Source organism: Homo sapiens, chromosome 11 (assembly GCF_000001405.40).
Source record: "Homo sapiens chromosome 11, GRCh38.p14 Primary Assembly".
Taxonomy (NCBI): Eukaryota; Metazoa; Chordata; class Mammalia; order Primates; family Hominidae; genus Homo; species Homo sapiens.
In genome coordinates this window covers 19,542,739-19,560,575 of record NC_000011.10, presented here as the reverse complement: position 1 = coordinate 19,560,575, position 17,837 = coordinate 19,542,739, and the positions used below count along the sequence as shown (strand labels likewise).

The 17,837-nt window shown below is 47.2% G+C and overlaps 1 protein-coding gene across 11 annotated transcripts in view, besides 2 other annotated features; it reads right to left on the bottom strand.

Annotated features, from left to right (window-relative positions):
* NAV2 (neuron navigator 2) overlaps window positions 1–17,837 on the bottom strand; it is a 776,366-nt gene that overhangs the window by 561,026 nt on the left and 197,503 nt on the right. The window lies entirely within an intron of this gene.
* Window positions 6,757–6,806: an enhancer, noted in NCBI's record as "active region_4522". NCBI's record gives its function as "activates an Ori minimal core promoter by ATAC-STARR-seq in GM12878 lymphoblastoid cells {active_cell/tissue: GM12878}" and the evidence as "EXISTENCE:reporter gene assay evidence [ECO:0000049][PMID:35858748]".
* Window positions 8,823–9,022: an enhancer, noted in NCBI's record as "active region_4521". NCBI's record gives its function as "activates an Ori minimal core promoter by ATAC-STARR-seq in GM12878 lymphoblastoid cells {active_cell/tissue: GM12878}" and the evidence as "EXISTENCE:reporter gene assay evidence [ECO:0000049][PMID:35858748]".

The following is a 17,837-nucleotide window of genomic DNA, read 5'->3' as shown; positions in this document are numbered from 1 at the left end:
TGTGATAAGAGCTGCAATGTTGTTGAAGGCATACTCCACATCAGGGCTTTTACAGGTATGACCTCAGTGGCGCTTCACAGCAGACATCTGAGGCACATTGCTCGTTATAAAGGCGAAGACACTGAGGCTCAGAGACTCCAATTAAAGTGCCCAAGGTCACACAGCTGGCAAGTAGCAGAGCCAAGACTTGAATCCAGAAAGTTTGATTCCAAAGCCATCCCCAGTGCCCCGCACCCCAGTGAGAACTTGTTTTCTCGCAGGCAGGAAGCAGATGTCTCAATAGCTGATAACCTGGGAATCTCAGGGTTTGTCTAAAGCTTGTGATTAGTTATCAGATTTCTCAGGAAGCACATCCTTACTCTTTTTTTTCTCTTTTTAAGTGGAGAAATCACCAAAGGAGGCCACAACATCAAGAAAATAGTCTCTTTTACCACCGATTCTGAGCAAAGCAATGAAAAACAGCTTCAACAAAAAGCTAATTAGAAAGTCATAACTTGGAAAACCACCAAATGCAATTCTGATGAGGATCAAATTTAATAAAAGCACAGCTTCTGGTTCCTGCAGCTAGAGCGAAGCAGGCACGTGAGGGGAATGGCTAAGGCAGACTCAGCTAGAGAAATCGGGATTCCAGGTACACCAGGCAGCACTCCAGGCTGTCCATCTATCCGCCCCCAGGGGGAGAAGGGCTCAGGCAGCTTACTGAGAAGGGGGCTCTGGAGACACTCACCAGGGGCAGACCATGAAAACCAGACTGGCCCTGGGAAAGGGAGAGTGCCAGAAGCTTCCGAAGAAAGCACTTCCCATCCCCAGGCTCCTTTCCTGTAACAAGGTTCCTGGGAGTTTCCTTACTGCACAGATGAGAATGGCTTGTCATTAACATTCACATCAATAGACGCTTCTTGAAGACTTGAAAATGGCTATTGCCTGTGGGGATAAGCATGTGACCCCTCCTGCCATCCACCCTCAGCCACCCTAGTGCCAAGGAAAGGAAGCATGAATACAGATTCTACCAGCAGTAGACACATTCTGAACAAATGAAGTTCAAATTAAAATCTCAAAATAATTCATGCTCCCATAATGCTTTATAGGTGATAAGATGCTTTCTTGGGCATTTCCTTATTTAGTCTGTGCCATAATTCTATTTGGTGGTTGTCTTTACTATATCCACCTGACATCACACAAGGAAAACAAGGCTCGGGGGTTAAATGACTTGGCCAAGGGCACAGAGCTTACAACAATGGTGCCATAGGAGAATGGGCTTTTAATTCAGAAAGACCTGGGCTTCAATTCTAGCTCTGTCCTTACCTGACATGTGATCTTGGGAACAATCTCTGTAGCCGAGGCACCTCAGTCTCCTCAGCTGTGAAGGTGGCTTCCATGTATGGAGGACTTTCTGTGTGCCAGGCACTACTATAAGTACCTGTGGTAGGTGGTTTGCAAGATGGCCACTAATAATTCCTCCCATTCTTGCATGTGCAAGTCACTCATCTCATCAAGAGGAGAGGCCTGTGTCTCTCTTCCTTAAATCTGGGCTGGCTTTGTAACTTGCTTTGACTTATGGAATATGGTAGAAGTGACTGCTGTGCCAGCTCCCAGGCAAGGCGGTAAGAGGCTGGGAACGGCCTTTAGTTCTCTTGGAGTCCTGCGCCACCATGTATAGGGCAAACACACTTGACAGCAATAACATAAACATACCCTGAGAATGGCCCTGTATGGCACCTGTGTGGGACTTGAATGTGTGTTCCGAGACAGGGAATCCAGGGATGGCCAACACAGACATTCATTCCTTGTCTATGAGAAAACATCCGAGCCCCCAGCCTGTCCCATGGAACACAGGCTGTACAGGGGATTGAAGCCCCAGGTTTTGGGTTAAGTGAATGTTGCCAGGTTCAGGTCATTCAGGGAGGGTGTTAAGTGAAAATGCTCTATAAATTGCATGCTGTTCACAAGCAGCTGTGGCTTTTCTGCCTAGCCTGCTGCCATTGGGCCATAGGAAGGTGGTTTGACTGTCCAGTCCGCTGCCACTGGATTCTCTCCCCTGTACATAAGCCCCTAGTCAAAACCCATGTCTTGTTTGTTGGCTCTGGGTCTCTTTTTCAACCTCTTGAACCTGATGACTTCCCTATTGAGGTGAGTAGGGGTTTGGCACAATGCCATGTAAAACCATTCTGACTCTCGTGCTGGAGAGAGAGGCCCTGCCAGCCTTTAGCTGAGGTGCCATGCATTTGAGGAAGCCCTCTTGGCTCATCCAGCCCTACTGGAAGTGCCCAGCCAACATCACATGAGGAAGCGAGTTGCTGTCCCACTGAGCCCTGCCCTAATTGCAGAATCGTGAGCAAATACGTAGTTGTTTCGGCTTGGTTTGTTTCGCAGCAATAGATAACTGAAAAAGTGCCTAATGTGTATTCATTTAGTCCTCATATCAACCCCATGGAGAAACTGAGGCACAGAAAACTTAAGTAAGTTATCTAATAAATAACAGCAGGTTTTAAATACAAATAGGCTAACTATCCAGAGCCCACGTTTATAAGCACCACGTTATACTGCCCCTTCATAAAAAGAGCAGTACCTCTCAGAGTTATTAAAGAGATTGTCCCTCCCCAACGTTCATCCCACAAGAGCACCCCATCTTCCAAAGAGGAGGCTCCACATGGACTCACATGATATTCACCAGACGAAGTGCCCTCTGTCATTCTGGCTCGATGCTGCCCCCACGTGGCCACTGACTGTCCAAGCCTTCCGTTTGGACACATCCTGACTGCAGGAATGCAGCTTGAGAATCTGCCATCCCTTCAGCCACCTCTTGATCCCACCCTATGCTTCTCACCTGGAAGTGCAGCCCCAGTTCTGTTCTGTGTTCGGTGTGGATCCCATTTTAGCCAAGGCTTTTCGCGTTCACTGCTTATAGGGAAGCATCCCACCTGAAGCTCAAGTTGAAGTGTGTCTACGTGACCACATGAGCACTGATAGGGCCCCTGGGAGACAGAATGTCCCTGCCTAAGCCATCAGCAGACTTGTGGCAACCAGAAGTTCCAGTTTTCTCATTCAGAGCCTAGAGTACCATCGATTGTCCATGAATTGCATAGACAACATTTAATCAAGGGCAGATGTACTTCAGCAGGAGAAACATTCATGTGAAGAGATTACTTCACAGTGGCTAAAATAAATCAATTCTACAAACAAAACATTCAGTTTACTCATCGTAAGCCGTAGATTGCCAGGCTCAGTGGATCTAACAGGTAAGAGTCTGGGTTTGAATGATACACCTCGGTTCAAACTCTGGTTCCATCATTTGCTGACTGTGTGACCTTGGACAAGTCTCTTAACCTCCGCTGGCATCAATGTCTTCACTTGCCAAACGGCTACATTAATACCATGTCTCTTGTGGAATTTAACCTGCGGGTTAAATGATATGGCATCTGAGAGCACTTACTGCCTTATCATCCAGTGATCTAATAAGCCTGAATTATATTTTCTTTGTTCATTTGCTTATTTAATTTTAAAATTCCTTGGTTATTTTACATGATAGAAGCAATGCATGTCTATTATGTAAAATTTTGGAATTAGAGAGAATAAAGAGAAAGAAGTAAAAAACTCTGATACAGAGATTTTTAAAATCAAGGTCCATAAATCCCCTAGAAGACTAGTAAGAATTTCAGAGAGTACATGAACTTGGATAGGAAAAATGACGTTTTTATTTCATGATCTAACCAAAATACAGCATGGTCATTTATTATGAATTTTGGCTTCAAATAACAGTAGTTTTAGCTATATAGACAACTTTGTCACTGACAGAAACTTAGACATTTTTATACCACATTTTAGCTATTGCATGTAATTTAAAATATTACTTGAATTCATCACTACCTTATAGGTATAGTAATTATTTGATCTTCTGCTAGATCGTGTTACTTAAGGTATTAAAAAGAAGCACATATATTGAAAAATTATTTTAACATTTTGATATCTGTATTTCAATATTATTGGTTTTCTTTGAAATTCTATGGTTTATATTTCAGGCATTTAAAAACATGCTGGTAAGCCCATAGGCTCATCAAGCTGCCAAAGGTGTCTGTGGCACAAAAAGGGTTAAGAGATCCCTGCTGTGGTTCCTCCAGCCAAGCCCATGAGCAGTTCAGATTTTCCTGCCACTCTTTAACTGTTTACTTCGTTCATATTGTTGCAGTCAGGTTGCATAGTATAATTTTGTAGCCTGTGTTGCTAACCATAAACATGTTTTCACATTGCTTCTTACACACATAATTTTTAATGGTGGCATGATATTCCACTTTGTTGATGCACCATAATTCACATTCCCCTGTGGTTTACCATTTACAATGGCTTGAACCTGTCACTTTTACAAATGACATTAGGATGAGTGTCTTCTCTCATAAAGGATCTCCTGTATTTTAGATTATTTCCTTAGGCAAGATTCCCAGCAGTGGTAGAGTGAACATTTTCAAGTCGCTGACACCCTTCCTGGTCCCCGGGGAGCTGCAAGCACATGGAATCAGCACATGGAGGATTGAAGAAGAGTGAAGGCTTTGAAAGGAGGAGGGAAGGGAGGCTGAGGAGGAGAAAGATAAATGGGAGGGCAGGGTCTGTAGGGACAGGTGCACAGGCTGTGACCCACTCAAGGGTGTCCAGCCAGGTGATAAGCACAGGCTGAACTCTAGTCAGGCTCTGCTACCAAGCTGTGCACTCAGGCTGGGGCTGGGGCTGGGGCTGGGGCTGGGTGGGCTCGAGGAAGGTACATCTTCTTCCAGGCACCATGGGAGCAGAGGAATTCACTATTGCTGAGAAATTCACTATTGTTCCTTGGTGGTGGCATCTTCTTGGGGTCTTCAGGACATACAAACCCCACACCCTCAGAGAATGCTAGAAAGAAGGAGTCACATTTTCAACCTAGAGTCCCCGAACCTTTAGTACCTGGGAAGGCAAAAATCTGGGAAGGCAAAAATGTGAGCAATGTTTACTTCCAAAACAGCTAATAAAACTTGAACATTGACCTTCAATAAGGCCTCCCCATGTAAAACTCATACGGGTTGGAGTTCACTGCTGCTTGTTGTTTCTTATGAGTACACAGTGATTGGAGTGGATGCTGTGGTGAGCTGCCCAGAGCCCCCCCCAGGTCTGGGAGTGTTGGCTGCTGTTGGTTTATGGCTAGTTCGTCCCCAGGAATTGCACTGGATGAAAGAGCTGCCTTGCCCAAGGTGATAGACCTTGCCTGATTCATGTGGGAGTGCACAGACCTGGCCTGCTTTCCCCAGTGGGGATCACTCTGCAGCTCTTCCCAGCCCCAGACCTACCTGGGGACCAGCTGAGGCCTTTGTCGTGCATGTTTCATGGTTCCACCTCTCCCTCTGCCAGCTTCTGCTTCCCCACCTCATTGATGGCATTACCAGGACATGCCCCAATTTCCTGTACATTGATCCCTGTCTCAGAATCTGTTTATCGGGGAACCCAATCTAAGATAGTCACATATCTTGTTTACTCAAAACTGAAAAGGAATAAATTATTACAACATACATACATGGGTAGATAAGATTTTTTTTTTTTTTTTGCAAAACATGGTATGTATGAGATAGAAACCCCATTTTTAAAAAATTTATTTATCTTTAATTTTTTTTTTCGGAGTTTCGCTCTTGTTGCCCAGGCTGAAGTGCAATGACGCGATCTCAGCTCACTGCAACCTCCTCCTCCCGGGTTCAAGTGATTCTCCTGCCTCAGCCTCCCGAGTAGCCACCACGCCTGGCTAATTTTGTATTTTTAGTAGAGACGGGGTTTCTCCATGTTGGTCAGGCTGGTCTCGAACTCCCGACCTCAGGTGATCTGCCCGCCTCGGCCTCCCAAAGTGGATAGAAAACCATTTTTAAGAAATGTCCTTGCTGGCAAAAACACCACCACCATAAACAACCATCTAATTCATCCTTACCTACTCCCTCATTTTATAGACGAGAAACAGAACCCTGGAGGACAAGTGGCCTGAAAGTCACAAAGCCCACAAACAGCAGAGCTAGAACACAAAGCCAGACCAGCAGTGTTTCCATTCCTTGAGGCGCCTCTACTAGCTTTGGGTTCAGGGCAACGCATTTTCTAACAAAAGCCTACCCCATGAGTGGGGAGGAGCTGGGCAATGGAGCCTGGTGTCTCCCCCAGAGGGTTAGACACTTCCTGCTCTCTAACATCCAGAGACAAATCACAAACTGTAAGGTTGGCCTAGTGTGGGCATTGGCATCAGACAGCCCAAACTCAATCCTGGCTCTGCTATTGGCTAGCTGTGTGGCCTTAGCACAGTTGATTTACCTCTCTGAGCCACACTCTCCTCATTTCTCAAATTAAAATTCTAAATTCTAATTATCAGAGTTGCTTTCTGAATAAAGTAAATGCCTGCACGTAGATGTCATAGCACGATTTCAGGCCCTTAGAAGACTCTAACCCAGCATTAGTTCCCTCTGGCCACCTTTATTTTGTGTTGCCTCCTGGCTTAGAGCGCAGAATTTCAAAAACAAAAAAGGAGAGAGAGCTCCCACAACTTTTCAGTATGAAATGCTCTGTCCCCTTCTCTGATTGCTAGGGGAACAGAAAGCAGCCTCTTTTTCTACTGGGCGTGAAGCCCTTTGAGTCCACCCAAACTCGCCAGCAGAGGGCAGCACAATTCTGCTAAAAGCCCACGAGGGGTTTGCCACCCATTCTGGGCCTCCACCATCTGATGACTACCCGGCTGGCACAGAGAGGCTGGTGCTGCCTCTGTACCTCTCCTCAGTCTGGGTCCCTGGAGCCCTGGCAGCTGTGGTGTGTCTCCCCAGAAAGGGAATGGCCAGACCTGCTCTGCAGCAGCAAAGGCTGGATTCAATCTCGGCAATGCCAAGGCATATTTGCATGTGCTCTTCTGTTAAATACATCAGTTTGTTACAAACAATCCTTCCCAGAGGTGAAGATGCAAACCAGCCTGAGGCCACCCGCAGCCCAAGCTCCCATTTCCTAGGCATTGAAAATCAGCTGGTCAGTGCCTTCCCTGGCTCATCCTGGGGTGATGGGGAGGGGAGAGAGGTGTGTGTGTGTGGTCTGCATTACTGTATATTGGTGCTCAGATGAAGGCTCTGAGGCCTGGGTGGGTATCCCCAAGAGGGAGGATGAACTAAAGCAGGGGTAGGCCCCCATATCTCTCTTACTCCTTCCAAAATGAGCTGGGAAGAACCCCAGGAACAGAATCCGCACATTTCCCCTGACTTCAGAGAGCCCTGCTCAAGACGATGAAATTAACAAGTGAGAAGCCCAAGATTAGGGGTGGGGCTGTTGACCTCCTGTATCTCTGTCTCTAGATTTCCAGGAATTTTGGGGCTTTCTAGACAAAGGTTCTGGCTTGAAGGTCCATCTGGGCTGGAGATGGGGCTATGCATTGAAAGAATGCTGCCCTCCCAAGAGTCCTTCTGAGCCCGGCTCTTGCAAGGGAACAGGAATGCCTCTCCTCACCAAGGGACATTTTCCTGCACAAATGTATCCATGGAGAGCATGTTACACAGCCATGCTGAGACTGGAGGCAAGGCTGCAAAACCTGCCTTCCTTTTCACTCCGCAATTGCAGAGGACAAGAAAAAGAATTTCAGCTTACGCGTTCCTTTCCCTGCCTTGAGAAGGATGGTCTCAGCACTCCCATCCAGCTCCCCCCCTTCCCCCCCACACACACTCACACACACTCTCTCACAATGCAATGTTAACGCTAAAGAAGTAAGCAAATTCCTTGGTGGGTGGAACTGCTGCCCAGGAAACAGCCCCTCGGAGAGAGCTACTTTAAGGCAGAAAATCCTCACAGCACGCTGGCCAATGAATGCTGTTCAGCTCTTTTACACTACAGCGCTGAAATAATCTTTTTTTCACTTTCTCTCCAAAATGCCTATAATGTCTGTGAGGCTGAATAATTTATGGTCCTACCGTCCTTCATGTCACAGAGTGGTTCCGCTTAATGTTGTTCCATGGCCTTGTGACAAATGGAGTTTTTCTTGTGTTCTTTGACCCAAATGGGATTCAGGCTGGGGAGCTTCTGCTCGGTCTGGGTGGGATGGGAGAAAAGTGAGGAGGAGGGGAGAGGGTGGCTCCTGTGCCCGTGGCCACAGGGCCCAGCAGGACAGGCCCTGGGCTCCATGCCCCTGAGCCCCGATGGAACAACCCCTGGGTTTCTGGGAATTGATTCAGAGAAGTGTAGAGAGGCAGAGTGGGGAGGCTGAACACTCAATGACTGTAAACTGTGAATTCCCTGCAGACGCCTCACACGCCTCCCCTCTGGTGTCTCCATCTGTCCACGGATTCCCAGTGACTCCAGCTCTTGCTCTTCCCAGCCCCAGGCACCGCAAAGAGGCAAATGAAAGCCAAAAGGCAATGAGCCCTTTCCCCCGCCCCTCCCTGCCACCTACACCCCAAGAGGCTCTGTCCTGTCTCCCAAACTGACCAGTCTTGCTGCCTTCTCCAGGGGCCCAGGCCACCCCAGTCTCAGCCCTGGGCATCCATAGAGCACAGGCCTCATCAATAATTCACTGCCTCCCCCGTCCTCCTCAGACAAAGGGAAGGGAGCCTGCAGGCCTCAGAAGCCCCAAGACCCCAGGGTTGCAGTCAGGGAGCTAATGTCCTCTTGAAAGGAGAGGAGATGTGGAGAAAGAGAGAGAGAGAGAGAGAGAGAGAAGAGGAGAGGAGAGGAGAAGGAGGGGAAGGAGCAGAGTAAAGAGGAAAGAAAGGCTAGGAAAAGGAAGGCAAATAAATCCCATCCAGGATAACCATTCTGGAAGTTGGTATGCTCCACACGTGAAATGCACTATTCTGAAAGAACTAACCATTTTTTCCCCCACCACTATTTTACTGTAGAAATGAGAGGAAGCAGGACGTGGCTGGGTTTCACAGACTATTTCTTCACAGTTTCTTATTCTGTTTTGACAAGACATCTGCTTAAGCTACTATTCTGAACCACGCGGTGTATAACCTCCATCAGCTTTGCCAGTTCCAATGTTCTGCAACATAACAGGGAGGGAGCTGACAGGGCACACACCTGGTGGGCTGTGAGGCCAGGAGGGAGGGGTGCAAGTGGATCAGGGACAGGCACACTGGCAGGCTCAGGCTGGGGAGCAGCCGTCTGGGTCCACAACTCAGCAATGAGGACTTGCCGTGGAACCCAGGGGATGTCCCTTGACCTCTCTGAGGCTCAGCCTGATCTGCAGATCCCCTCCTCACAGAGATGACTGGGGGGACTTTAAGAAGAAAATACGTGGTCCTGACCCCTCTGTACTTATGGTCTTGTTTGCGTAGACATGGAACTTGATCTCAATGACAAGTGAGCCTGCCAACCTGCACATGTTCTTGCATAAATTGTAGTAAAGAAAGTGATGGTGCTGCAGGGCAGGCAAACCCCAAAGTGGGGCTTAGCTTGCAAGGGTTCTTGGCTTCCCCCAGGACAGCATGCAAGGGCGAGCCAGTGCTGGGGTAGAAGAAGACAGCTCATTTGAAGTGGCAGTGCCACAGCTCCAGCAGTCAGCGCCAGCTCCTGCAGAGCAGGGCTACTGCATAGGCAGTGTGCTGAGAGTAGCCCATCAGAGCAGTTTTGCAGTCATCTTTATACCTACTTCTCATTATATGTAGATTACGGGGTGGTTTATGCAGAAATTTCTAGGGAAGGGGTGGTAACTTTTGGGTTGTTGGGACATTGCCATGGAAAGGGGCAGTAACTCTTGAGTGTTGCCATAGCAATGGTAAACTGACATGGCACACTGGTGGGCGTGTTTTATGGAAAGCTGCTTCCACCCCATCTCTGTTTTAGCTAGTCCTCAATTTGGTCCAGTGTCCGAGCCCCATCTCAGGAGTTGAGTCCTGCCTCCTACCTCAAGGGGAGTGGGCAATATCACAGGGCCCACGTAGGAAGCCACAGCATTGTGGGCATCTATTAGCAAACATTCATTGAGCATCTGAAGAGGTGGCAGTGAGTGCACGTACACAGTCCCTTTCCTTGTACAATGCTGCTTGCAATGCTGCTTGCAGACTATTGAGCTCCAATCTCTGCTCCAGAATCCACCCTGTATCGATCTGCCTTTAAGCAAGCCCCTTGACCTCTGTGGGCCTCAGTTGCCTCATCTACGAAATGGAAATTGTCAATCCCAGACTTATGGAATTATTGGGGAGATTTCGTGAAGTTTCAAGTATTCGGGTTCTAACAGAGTCCTGTACACAGTATGTGCTTAATAAACGTGCATTCCCTTTAACTTCTTATTCCTTAGAAGATGGGGCATTGGGGAGCTCTGGAAGGAAATGTGGAGTTTCTCAGCTGATTTTCTTCATATGGCCATTTTATTAAATGAGCTTCAGAAATAGCTTTATTCTCCTCCTTTAGATATTGTTTTGTCAAATTTCCCTTTTTCGTTTCTAGACAATATCTCAAACAGGTCCCAGAGTTTTTCTGGCTGCCTCCGGGTATTAGAACAATCTCATTTTCAGGCAATAAAAAGTCCAGGGCAATCTAAATCAAAACTTGAATTTCCCATCCACCTCCACATATGTCCTCCCTCCCTGGCTGAGGCGCAAACTGCAGGACTCTAGGCCAGCAGAAGCCGGGGGAGGCTGGCCCCCCTATTTTGCTTTCCCTGCTCCATCTCCCCTTCTTTTGCTCTCCTGTTAATGGGCCCCTCCAGAGCCGAGGGCAGGGCATGGGAAGTGGCTATCAGGAAAAAGCAGATTCTTACCAGACTAACGTTCTTGTCATCTGGTCTATGGTGCCCTTGGTGGGGCAGATGACCTAATGCTCATGGTGCAGCTTGGTTTCTTGGGTGATGTCCACTGGGGCCTCTACGCTGTATCACGATTGAGACCTCTCAGACACCTCCTGTGAGCTGCCCTGCAGCACACCACTCCCGTGGAATTCTGCTGCAGGAGCCCCCTCACCCTGGCAGGCAGGCAGCCTTCTGAGCTGGGGTCCTTTTGAGATGGCTTAGCCTGGCTCCCATTAGCTGTCCATTTGCCATACGATTGGTAGGAGGGGGGTTGTGCTCTCTCACGGTACCTGCCCTCCTTCCTCTGTAGTCAGGGGCATCTACTATCTCCTTCCGGCCAGTGTCTCTCTGCATCGGGTGAACCCTCAAGCTCCTGAGGATACTTGTCCTTCCATCCCCCAAGAGAAAGCACAAGGTGGGGGAGGGGCACTCTGAGTTCCCACAGGGACAATTAAGCCACCAGTTGGGAATAGGACGCCAACCTCTCTTCGTGAAGGCAGCCTCCCGAGTGGCTCCAGGAGGATCACCTTTTTTAACCATCCCAGGTTTCCTTTCTTCACTCTAGAGGTAGGAGCCCCAGGGCTGCTCTTGGTCACCTCTTAGCCAGTCTGATGAGAATGGCCTAGCCCCTATTTTTAGAATGTGTGGACACTTGGCTTCAGCTTTGGAACCTCAGCCACATTCCAAGACAATAAGAAATGTCCTTCTTAACATCATGTTACAGTCCCCAAAGCTGAGACATTCACCTGTTTAGGGTCTAGATGATCTTCAAGCCCCTCTCCCTCTGAGAAGCAATAATCTGGAAGACATTCACTCTTACCTTTCTTATCTGTAACCCCAGGTCAGACAAAAAGAAGGGAATGAAGAGAATCCATCACCTCTACTTAATAGCTTTGAAAAGTTTACAAGTTTAAACACTCACCTTGAGGGTGTTTTTTTTTTTTTTTTTTTTGAGACGGAGCCTGATGTGTCACCCAGGCTGGAGTGCTGTGGCATGATCTTGGCTCACTGCAAGCTCCGCCTTCCGGGTTCACGCCATTCTCCTGCCTCAACCTCCCGAGTAGCTGGGACTACAGGCACCTGCCACCAAGCCTGGCTAATTTTTTTTTTTTTTTTGTATCTTTAGTAGAGACGGGGTTTCACCATGTTAGCCAGGATGGTCTCGATCTCCTGACCTCATGATCCGCCCACCTCGGCCTCCCAAAGTGCTGGGATTACAGGTGTGAGCCACCGCTGCTGGCCAAGAGTGTTTTTAAATTTACTATTACTCGTGGATGGCAGGACATTGGTCAAGGGCACACGCTTTGGTTGTGGGCTGGATCACATGGTTCATAAACTCCCCCCTTTCCAGTAACCATCAGTGAGACCTTGGGCAAATGACTTGACATCTTTCTGCCTCAGCTACTGCATCTGCGAAATGGAGGTAAGCACAGGCTCGCCCTCCTAGGGTATATAGGCACAGGTCTCTTAGAATAAGGCCTGACACACTGTAAGGGCTGTGGAAATGTTTGCCAAGTGAAGGGTAATAACCGAATTCTCTCTTCGTCTGATTTTCCTTTGACTACTCACATCTTTGCTGTTTCAGGGTTTTGCTTTCATTGTTATGCCCTTTCTTTAAGTTTCTTTCTTTTATGTTTGTCTGTGAACTGCTCTTTGGAGATACCCATTACCGACAGCCATGAAATTGTCATGCAGGAGACATCATTGCTAAACCTATCCTACGAACTAAGATATTTAAGGAGGAAAGATGGCAGCTGCAGAGTCAGGCCCCCTGAGTCTGAATTCAACCCTGTTACTCACCAGCTAGGTGATGTGTGGCTGGTTATTTAACCTCTTGCAGGCTGGGATTCCCCATCTGTAAATCACCTTTACCCATCCTTCAAACATTTCTGTGGGTCCGCCAAGTTCCAGACATTGAAACATTTACTATCCAGACTGCAATTGCTTTGTTTTAATTAGTATGGAATTGGAACCCAGAAACATCTTAAAAATCCAGCCCATTTCTTATAGTAAAAGTGAGTTCTCAGATCCTTTATTATTATTATTACCACTATTCTACCACTATCATTGTCATTATTATGACTTCCCTGAAAGTACAAGTCTTAGAGCTCAGGAGAATGGAAGAGAGGGGGTCCTACTTGTCCCCCGGGCTCTCAGCCCCCACTCCCTTCCATTAGTAAGGGGTCCCAAGAAAAAAGAAAATGAAAGAAAAACTAGAGAGACCAAAACAAGAGGTAGAGAAGATCAAACCTGCAGTTGGAAGCCAGCAGCTCCCTCTCTGCCTGATTACACAGTGTGCAGCGTGAGGATGTACTTCAGGCTCCTGCAGCCAAGGGGGGATGGAAAAGAGCAGTGGTGGGAAAGGGAAGAAAGGGAAAAAATCAGCTTCAATGAGGTGATCCAGAGTTTGCAATTAGAAAAACCAGAAGAAAGCTATTTTGGTGTCAGCAGTTTTGTGTTTCATAGTTAAATCCTGCTTTGATTTGGCATTACATTTGGGGGTGGGTAAGAGGAACCCAAGTGTTTCCAGCATCTTTAAAGCTGTCATCTGCTGGGTGTGCTCCTGGCCCTCCGCTGGGCTCTGCAGATTGCTTCACAGCAGCCCTGGCTACTTCAACGAACAACTGCTTTCCATCGCCTGGAGAGCTGGCCTCCAGAGTTCCAGTGGGGCCATCAATGTCTGGGGCAGCAGTGTTGCCATGTGCAGGGCAGGAGAGGCTGCTGTTGGATGTGGGTAGGCAGGGACCACCCCCATGTCAATATTCAAAGGCAGCAGGACACAGTTCCGGTGCACCCACTCTGATTCTATGCCTGCCATTCTGAAGAGCAGTAAAGAGGCTACATCTGAGCTTCCAGAATCCAGGTATCAATAGTGACCTAAACTCCAACTGATCATCTCCCAGACCCTGATGTAAAAAATGAGACAGAAGTTGTCTTGCTGGAAGAATCCTAGAGCTTCCTTATTTTGTATGTGAGAAAATGTTTGCAGCTGGGGTTAGAAAGTGCTGTGTATTAGGAATGAAGCTTCACATCTCAAGAGGAGAGAGATGGAGAAAAAGGAGAAAAGTGGAAAGTAAAAACACTAAAACGGTTACATTTACTTTTAGGGAAAGTTAAGAGATAGTGTACTCAAAACCTGGGAAATAAAATCTCTTCTTACATTCCCCAAGGCAGTTTAAATAATAGAAAACACCCCCAAAAAGCCTAGGGTGATTCACAGTGGAGTTTGGACATCAGAGGGTGGTTGCCGTGGTGACCAGTCCTTCCTTCTGTACACAGCCCTCCATTCTTCATGAAGCCGCCCCACCCTGCAGGTGGCTTTGGAAAGCTGAGGATTCTGCAAAGGGGCAGTGGAGGTGGCCGCACTGCCCAGCTGCCAGGCTGTTTCCTACCTTCCCGCAGCAGCTCAGCCTCTGCCATCTGGGCCCCACACCCAGGGCCCCAGCATGGGGCCTCCATTGGTCACAGCCACCACTGAACCCCCACCAGTCTGTCTCGCCCTCAGCAAGATCTCAGTTACAAGGCAGCCAGGGTTGAGAGAGGGAATCTCTGAGCTGGGGTTCAAGTCTCCTCTGCCATCTGCTCTTCAGAAATCCATCAGGCCTTGCTCGAGACCCCACATCAAGCCCTCATGGGGAGGAGATGTCTTTTCAAGAAAATATCTACATACTTGTCTCCTATGCCTGTTTGAGCACAGTTTGGTGTGGTTTCCTGGAGAATGACTCTGCTTGGTTTTAAAATTGAGCTCCATGAAATTCTAGGGTTCCCTGGAAGCATCTGAGGGAAATTTCATCAGTGGAGGAAGAGACCCCCTACCCCAACCTACTTGGAACAGTTCTGCTTTCATTTAGATTAGATTATAGACTCTGCAATTATAACTGCATATAATACAAACTACAATACAATACAAATACCAAAAAGTTCTGCTTAAAAGGCTGAAGATTCTTAGGTCAGGGTTGTCCAATCTTTTGGCTTCCCTGGGCCACATTGGAAGAAGAAGCATTGTCTTGGGCCACACATAAAATACACTAACACTAACAATAGCTGATGAGCTAAAAAAAAACCTGCAAAAAAAATCCCAAAGTGTTTTCAGAAAGTTTAAGAATTTGTGTTGGGCTGCATTTAAAGCCACCCTGGGCCGCGGGTTGGACAAGCTCGTCTTAGGAGATTTCCCTAGTGCTTAGTTTTCTTACTATTTCACCAAGTGTTTAGTACCCTCTAGGAAATAAAATGCACTACCACTTTCCTGATTCAGTCTACTCACTCCAAGCTACATTGTCTGATGAGAAACTGACTCCCATTTGCGCCATGCCAGCCCTTTAAGTGAATGAGGCTTCCAGGCAAGCTTTCCACCTCAAAGGGACACCACTGCCCCATACCTTCTTCCTTTCACCATCCACCTGGCAGTCTTCCCACAGGAAGGGAGCCGTCCTTAGAGGCCACATGCAGACAAATATCAGTCTCTAAACCAAAGAGGCTTGGAGGAAAAAAGACAGAGAGCACACATGTCATGAATAATTCAGTTGGCTGCCCGGCCCAAACCAAGCTCCCCTGGAGGCAGTATGGAGACACAAATCTGCCCACCTTATGAAGCTTACAGCAGTTGCCAGTTAGGTCTGGGTAGCAGCTTGACCCTCCTGTGAGCGCCCAATAATAAATGCCCACACTGGCGTGGAGGGCTGTGGTGTGCAGCAGGTACACAAGAAATGAATGAGAACTGCAAGGCCAGAACGACTTCATGGGAGGGAAAGGGTCTTTGATTAAGGCAACTGCTCAACTCCAATGTACATTTGCTTTGCTGTCTCTGGGGCTGAAAGCAGGGTAGAGAGGTGGAGAGTGGGACATTTACTTTGGCCCAACCATCTGCTAGGTGTTCCACATGTGTGGAGCCAAGACACAGACACCCTAGCAACATTTTGGTGAGGCAGGTACTACGATTCTCATTCCTTTGCTTTACTCTCTCTCAAGGAAATTAGGCTGACAGACAGTTTGGAAGATTTGCCAGCAATCTTAACAGCTAGGAAGTGGCAGGGGCAGGCTCACCTCCAGCCCTAGCTGGCTCCAAAGCTGGGGCTCGTTCTTTTATGTCCCTAATTCCCTTCTTACTTTCCATGCTTTCTGTGCACTGTGTCTAGCAGGATAAGGTGGCCAGGTAAGCAGCCAGGGGGTGAGGAACTGGGAAGAGGCTGCACAGTACACCCTGTTTCTTCCAGAGGATGAATTCTGTACCCCACTCCAAGCTGTCAACATAGACAGGTGTTCAAGGGTGGAATGTGGCCCAGCTAATCCCTGCCTGACTTTAATTTCCCATGTGTGGAATATGGACTCCAGGGAGGCAGAATCCAGGAGGCAGAAGCTCAGGCCTTGATGCCTACTCAGATCTCTAGATGCCAAACTCTACTAACTGGGGTACTGACCAGTAAGCCTTGGGGATGTGAGATCTGAACCTGATCTTTATGGTGGCCTCAGTCTACACTGTCACCCTTGAAACCTGTGTCTGTCTTACAGCACGGATCCCATTCTGCTGGTATTGGAAAGACTGATAGTGAAAAGAACTCGAGATTAGAGTCAAGAGAGTCTAGGACCAAAGTCCATCTCGTTCTCATTCTCCTTCAATCACTCGGTTTTGATGGAAATCAACTCTGCCAACATAATTGCTATTTCAAAGAAATATTCATTCATACACTCAATAATTTTTTAGCAATCCAAGATGTATTGAGCACTTACTATGTGCCAGGCACAGTATTGAGAACCACAAACCCATAAGATGCTCAATAATATTATTTGAATGAATACAGTGCAAATCATGTTGTAGTAAGTATATATTCACAAGCTTTGGCCAGGAAGAGCAAAATAAGTAGTTTACATTTGAACAATACTTTTCACAAGGCTACAGAGTACACTCACATTCATTGTAATAATTGATGGATTATCCTCAGCTCAAACCGAGAGCATGGCCACTCTAGAAATACTTGGGGAGCTATAAGAGGAAGAGGAGGAGGTGACAAATAGTATTTGATGCAGTTGAGAGGTCAGCCTCAGAGTTAGCCAAGTGAGACAAGAGAGGACAAGGAAGAGAAAGAGAAGTAACTTTTGAACACCTGCTATGAGTATCTCATTTAACGCTGAATGATCCTATGAAGGGAGGTAGGTATTTTCACTCCTTTTTTATAGACAAAGGAAGGCAAGCTCATAGAGGGTAGCTATCTTGGATAAAGTTACACAGTCAAAAATGGCAAAATATCTGACTCCAAATTGAACGTTTTTTAATCCCTATGCCATTCTGAACCTTTCCCAAAAGAGGAAGATGAGGAGGAGAGGCTGTGTCAGTGAGATAAGGTGAGATTTGGTGCGATAAAAGAAAAAGAATAGATACAGGACCACGCAAACAAACACAAAAAGCCCAGTGACATTTCACTGATGATAGCAATGATTACTGTTACGTTGGTTGACAGCATGCATCATCGGCAGTTCAAGCCCTAGTTCCTGGAACTTCATAGATATATTTTGAAAGGACTTTCAGCAGGAAGCCCAAACTTCCAAAAGAGGAAGACTGACTACCATACCAGGCAGTCATTTTTATCTCTACTTTATAGACAAGGAAACTGAGCTTCTACGAGGTTAATCAATTTGCTTTAAGTCACCCATATCGGAAATGGCAGAGCAGGGATTTGAACCCAGGGCTTTCTGACCTTCAAATTTATATTGCTTTTTATGGCCCTATCTTAAAGATGACCAAGGATGGGTGAAGGAACTCTTAGAATCTCAGAATTTGGAAAAGATAATAAACTTTCTCTAATCAGGCAGTTCTCACACTTAGGTGATTGGACCCATGCTCAACCAGTGACATGGAAACCTTATTAAAGGGAAACGGGCTTCATCCCTGATCAGGGAACCTGCCTTCTCCTCTGTGGTCCTGGTGGCAGGAGAGGTACCCAGGAAGGGGAGGGTTTCAGGTGAAGGGGAGAGCAAGGTGGTGCTCACAGTCTGAGTCAGGCGGACCTCCTGGCTCTTGCCTTCTAGCTCAAGACCTTTGACAAACTTCCATGTTTCCTGAATCTCAGTTTTCTCACCTGTAGAATATTTTATA